General features: G+C 28.2%; 1 annotated feature.

Moving 5' to 3' along the window:
* Nucleotides 452-652: a silencer, noted in NCBI's record as "peak5018 fragment used in MPRA reporter construct". NCBI's record gives its function as "represses an SCP1 promoter by STARR-seq MPRAs in K562 erythroleukemia cells {active_cell/tissue: K562}" and the evidence as "EXISTENCE:reporter gene assay evidence [ECO:0000049][PMID:32103011]".

The raw sequence follows: 7,154 nt of genomic DNA on the forward strand, positions 1-7,154 counted from the left end.
TTCAAGAAAATCTTGTTAATTTGACACAGGGGCCAATATGCTCATCGTGCTTCAGTGTCTTTAACATTCATGATTAATTTATACAGTAAATAAACATATTTTATCCTTCAAAATCGGCCCTTACAATTTCATGCACCCACCTCTTCGGTGATAGTCCCTGGGTCTTGAGCTAAAATAGCTTTAATTTCTGGCCTTGTGTCTCAGGAATGTGCTAATTTTGATTGGCATCTTCTATAGGGTCTGAAGATGGGAATTTAATTGCTATTAGTGTTTCAAATTTAGCAGGATTGGTGTCCTTTTGATCCCAGGTGTCAAAGCCCTGTAGATCATTGTTACAGTACTTTAAAAGCACACGCAGAGGGATACATGGATGTAATAACCTTAATTTTTTTAAATATTAATCTCATTTTTTCCTAAGCAAACTAAAACTTAAATAATGATATACAAACTTGATTTTATAGAAATTTTTTTGTTGTTGTTTATAAATCCTCTTATTGCGACTTACACTGACCGTTCATGATATGCTTGGACTTTCTGGTTTGTCCTGAACATCCCACTTTTTAAAACAACTAGTCATTTTACTCTAAGACTAAATTTACCATACAAGAGCCTTTCTTATCTGAAATTATTTCCCTTTAAGCTTTTTTACCAAAAAAAACCCTCTATATTTTTTACAACTTTCTTTCTTTTATTTCCTGGTGCCTTTTACCTCATTTTTATACATGACATTTAAATAAGCTTTTAAATAGATAAAAATAGTTCACTTTTTTTTAAGGACACAATTTTTTAAAGAGTGTTTTCCTACAAATATACTTTTAAGAGAAAATACACAGATAAAGGCATATGTATTATTTAATTTAATATAACTTTAAATTCTAAATTATGATGAGTTTGTCTACAAATATCTATTCTATTATTTTTTCCTAATTATTTTATTTTAGTTGTTTACCTAAATTATTGATAATATCTTTGATTGTCATTATTTAAAGTTATGGAACCATATTGCACACAATTATAACTGAGATAGTGAAAAAGATTTGACCTCCCTGATTCCATCTGGCTTCTAACCTCCAAGCTGTCCTTGTTTATTCCTGGGTGTAGGCTGAACTAACTTTGTGAGGAACTTAGTTTATAGTTTAGCTTTGAAACGGAGATGATAACAGTCCTTTCCCAAAACGAACCATACTGTTTATGGACTAGACCACCTAAAGCCACAAGGTTAAAGTTATGGTAATGTTGCTAAATTCAAGATGTAGCTATTTTTTATTAAACCAATATAAATGTCTTATTTATTAAAGATTACACAGTGAAGATCTTTCTGTCTTGGGCTAGGTGTATAGTTTTGTAATCCATATGCCAAATTTTGACATGTTACAGTATTTGGCAGGGATAAGTATCAAACTGCTTGATGGATAATTGCAAACAAAAATGTATGCCGGCAATTCTTAAGACATTTCTAGTATTACTTTACCAATAATTTAAAGCTAGCTTATTCATTAAAGATTTTACTTGTTATGTAAATTTGAAAAAGCTTTTGACTAGTCTTTTTTTATGATAAAGTGCTTGATGCAAGCACTTTTTTTATTTCTTTTTCTTTAATTACCTGTTAAATCTAGAAGTTATAGGATGTTGCCAATGGTCTATTTCTTTTTATTTTATTTTATTTTACTTTAAGTTCTTGGATACATGTGCAGAACGTGCAGGTTTGTTACATAGGTATACATGTTCCATGGGGGTTTGCTGCACCTATCAACGCATCATCTAGGTTTTAAGCCCCTCATGCATTAGGTATTTGTCCTAATGCTCTCCCTTTCCTTGTCCCCCACCCCACGATAGGCCCTCGTGTGTGATGTTCCCCTCCCTGTGTTCATGTGTTCTTATTGTTCAACTCCCACTTACAAGTGAGAACATGAGGTGTTTGGTTTTCTGTTCCTGTGTTAGTTTGCTGAGAATGATGCTTCCAGCTTCATCTGTGTCCCTGCAAAGGACATGAACTCATCCTTTGTTGTTGTTGTTCTTGTTGTTGCTGTTTTTGAGAGGGAGTCTTGCTCTGCTGCCCAGGCTGGAGTGTAGTGGTACAATCTTGGCTCACTGCAAGCTCTGCCTCCCGGCTTCACATGATTCTCCTGCCTCGGCCTCGGCCTCCCAAGTAGCTGAGACTACAGGCGTCTGCCACCATGTCTGGCTAATTTTGTGTGTGTGTGTGTGTGTGTGAGTGTGTGTGAGTGTGTGTGTATTTTTAGTAGAGATGGGGTTTTACCATGTTAGCCAGCATGGTCTCGATCTCTGGACTTCATGAGCCACCTGCCTCAGCCTTCCAAAGTGCTGGGATTACAGGCATGAGCCACAGCTCCTGGCCAAACTCGTCCTTTTTTATGGCTGCATAGTATTCCATGGTGTATATGTGCCACATTTTCTTTATCCAGCCTATCTTTCATGGGCATTTTGGTTGGTTTCAAGTCTTTGCTGTTGTAAATAGTGCTGCAATAAACATACATGAAGCACTTTTATTTTCTTAGCCCATTAATTAGAGTTCTTTTATATATTTTCAGTAGTGAAAAATTGTGTATCCAATACATACATACATAGACATATTAGGTATGCCAATAGAAGTACATCTTATAGATTTATAAACACCTTTTGTTTTCCTATCTTAGACTTTCAGATTCACAAGTCTAGACAGTTGTCAGCTAAATTACATTAAATTTGCATATTAAAGGAAACAGCTCAGGTGAAAATCAAATAGCAAAATTTACATAATAAGATAGAGAGAGAAAAAGTCTGGTGGTATTAGAGGGAGATTAAAGATGGATGCCAAATCAAACATAAAAGTATAGAAATGTATCATAAGATTGTACAAGGAGACCGATTTTATTTACATAGGGACTATCCATCTTTTAACTGGGTCTCTGAGCCCTGGTCAGAGCCCACACTGAATCCTGGGTTTCCAAAAAGGAATAATTTTTATGAGATTAGACCGCGTGATGCTTTTACAGTGCACTTAACATTTTTTTTAAAACAAAAACATTTCTAAGTGTCTAAACCATATTCTTCTTTAAAAACCTAAGAGTAACCTCTGTTGCAATAACTATTTTAGGCAAAGAAAAAGGAAACAGTTAACACAGTACAAGTAAGCAGTTTAAGAGCTAAGATGAACTTCTCTGTTTACATTCTTGGGGTTCCACAAGGAAAAACAGGTTTCTTCCCCAAAGGGAGTCTGGTACCTTTATTTTCTTTAAGGAACCTCAGGCTATTATAAACTATTTTATGTCCCTGATTCAGCAGAGGGTGCAAGAGAAAGAAGAGACAGCAGAAGCAAATGAAGAAAACATAATTCAGTCAACTGAGAAGAAAAAAACTGTTGCTCAAAAAAAGACAAAGTCCTAGGAGAAAAACAAAAGCAAAAACATGAAGGCCTTTTAAATACAATACACAAACATATGCACACATGCAAACACACATCATGGATATTAGCTTTTAATTAAGCTGATTTTTTACCACTGAGCTTCCTTAAAAAAAATCTTTTAAAATCTCATTACCATGTTTCACCTAGGACAAATTGCTGCTATTTCAAAAGTACAGCCATTGCTCTTTCAGTTTGTCCTGGGTTGCAAAAAGGTGGCCTTGTTATGTAAATAAAGTCTGTTAGTAATCAAAAATCTTTCCTCTTTTTTCCCCTTATATATATATCACAATATTCATATATATTTATGTATTATATATGTAAATATATCATATAGTATATATCAAATATTATATGTAATATATTTTTATATTTTATATGTAATATATACTTATGATATTTATAATATATAATATATGATATGTTACATATGCATTATGTGTAATATGATATTATATATTATAATATATAATATTTATATATTATAATGTATATTATAATATATAATATTTATATATTATAATGTATATTATAATATATAATATTTATATATTATAATGTATATTATAATATATAATATTTATATATTATAATGTATATTATAATATATAATATTTATATATTATAATGTATATTATAATATTTATATATTATTATAATATTTATATATTATAATGTATATTATAATATTTATATATTATTATAATATTTATATATTATTATAATATTTATTTATTATAATATTTATATATTATTATAATATTTATATGTTATAATATATTATAATATTTATATATTATAATATATATTATTATAATATTTATATATTATAATATATATTAGTATAATATTTATATGTTATAATATATATTATAATATTTATATATTATAATATATATTATTGTAATATTTATATATTATAATACATATTAGTATAATATTTATATATTATAATATATGTTTAATTTTAAAATATTCTTAAAGGTAACTTGATTGTTTAATGCAAATATAACATTGTCATTCTAGTCTTACTCCCTTTACTTAGCATACATTTTGTCCTCCATTCAGTTGTATAAACATGCCAAGAATGCTGTCCTTTAGGCTTAGACTGTTTTTTCTGCCTGTAGATACAGTATCCACACCCCATATGCAAGGACTCACTCCAGTGTTGTGGCTCACCTTTTTGTTTCTAATGTCTCATAATGTCTCAGCCAGCTTTCATCTCCCCAAAAGACCTTCCCGACTCATATCATTTAATTACCACCCCTATCCATTATTCTTTACTTCCAGTTTCCTCATTCTTCCCTTTCACAATTTGTAATTCTATATTTATGAAATATTCTCCTCTAATAGTTTTGTAAGTTCCATGAGAGTAGGAAACATGATTATATTGCTTACCATCGTATTTACAGAATCTAAACACTGTCTATGATGCAGTCACTGAATAATTCTGGAATGTATGCAGGATGTACTTAGAATAAATTTTCTTCTAAGTTGTTCTTACAAAAGTCCCAGAAAGTAATGTTTCAACCTATTGTACATAATACAAAGAGTCATATGAAGTTATTTAGATTCTCTTTATTTTGTCTTGTGTTCTGTCTACAAAATAAGCTTTAAAAAATAGGCTAATGAATTTTGGTTATAACATATTTTCAGAAACTGAAGAAAAAAGTTAACATATTATTTTTTTAATCCCTTGAGTTTCTTTGAAGTGACCCTGTCAACATCTCTCAGTTTTTCAGCACTTAAAATTGTTTCTTGGTCTGTTACCAAAGGACCACCACAGGGAATTATACTGGCAGCAGCTTCTTTAAAAATATATATACGGAACATTTTAAAAATAAGGTGTACTTTGGAGCAAGTCAAATTCCTGTTACTTACAATGAAAAGGCCATCTGCAGATATATCATTATTTTTATTTTTAGGGCTGATAATGGGTAAGGTTTGACAATCAACTGAATAGTTAACTTCCACAAGAGGATAACAATGGACTTTGCAACCACTTAGTCTCAAGTTGGTGTAGTTTTTGAGTCACTGGTTGCAGATGCTCATACACATATGACATGAAACCTGTGGCATAGAAAGAGCTGAATAAAACCTTTAGAAGATATATAATGAAAAAGACATTTCTAAATCTATTTTTTATAAAAACTGTGTTTCCTTAGACATTATTTTTACTTATGTAGGTTATAAGTAGACTTTTTACACACACACATATACACATGCCCACACACATTATATAAATGTTAAATTTGTATTTCATAAGGCAATTAGCTTTGGAATGGTAACAGCAGACTGTAGAATATCTCGATGGGGTTTCTCGAGTTCAAATATTAGGCACCTAAGTTAACATATATTTGACAAATACTAGCTGGGCATGGTGGTGGGCATCTGTAGTCTCAGCTACTAGGGAGGCTGTGGTGGGAGGATCACTTGAAACTGGAACTCGGAAGTTTCAGTGAGCTGATATATTGTCACCACTCCAGCCTGGGAAATAGAGCGAGACTCCATCTCAAAAAAAAAAAAAAAAATACTGACTACTTTAAATGTTACCAGATCATGGCAAATGTAAGAACGTTTATTTCGCATACCATGCACGGCAACAATGAAGAGATATTTTATTATTCAGAGTTCTCTAGGGAAACAGAACCAATACAGTATGTATTCATATGTATATATAGAAGGAGATTTATTAAAAGGAATTTGTTCATGCAATTCTGGATAGAAAAAAAGATTTATTAAAAGGAACTGGTTCATGCAATTCTGGATACTGACAAATCAAAATCTTTAGTGTGGGTTGGCAGGCTCAAGATCCAGAAAAGCCAATAATGCAGTTCCAGTCTGAAGCCTGGAGCCCAGGGATCCAGAAAAGCTAATAGTAAAGATGAAGTCCAAAGGCAGTTTTCCGGAGAGAGATACATGTATCTAGAAATATATATATATAAAATATATATATATAAATAAAATATATATATAAATATATATATACATTATATATAAATATATAATATAAATATTATATATTATACATAATATATATATTTATATGACATATATCATATATAATATATATTATATGTAATATAAATATATATTATATATAATATATGTCATATAAATATATATATTTATATGTTTTATATATAAATATGTTTTATATATAAATATATAATATATAAATATATATAAATATATATAATATATGAATATATATAAATGTATATAATATATAATATATAAATAAATATATATTATATCTATAATATATATTTATATATTATAGATATAACATATATTTATATATTATATAAATATAATATATATTTATACATTATATATTATATATTATACATTATATATTTATATATAATTTATAATGTATAAATATATATTATATATAATGTATAAAAATATATTATATATAATATATAAATATATATTATATCTATAATAGATTAATATATATTATATCTATAATAGATAAATATATATTATAGATATAATATGAATATATATTATATATAAATATATATAACATATAAATGTACATTATACATGAATATATATAAAATAAATATATATTATATATATATAATATATAAATATATATAATATAAATATATATTATATATAAATATATATAATATATAAATATATATAATATAAAATATATATTATATATAAATATATATTATTTATGAATATATATTATATATAAATATATATTATTTATAATATATATTATTTATAA

Source organism: Homo sapiens, chromosome 4, assembly GCF_000001405.40.
Source record: "Homo sapiens chromosome 4, GRCh38.p14 Primary Assembly".
NCBI classification, from domain to species: domain Eukaryota; kingdom Metazoa; phylum Chordata; class Mammalia; order Primates; family Hominidae; genus Homo; species Homo sapiens.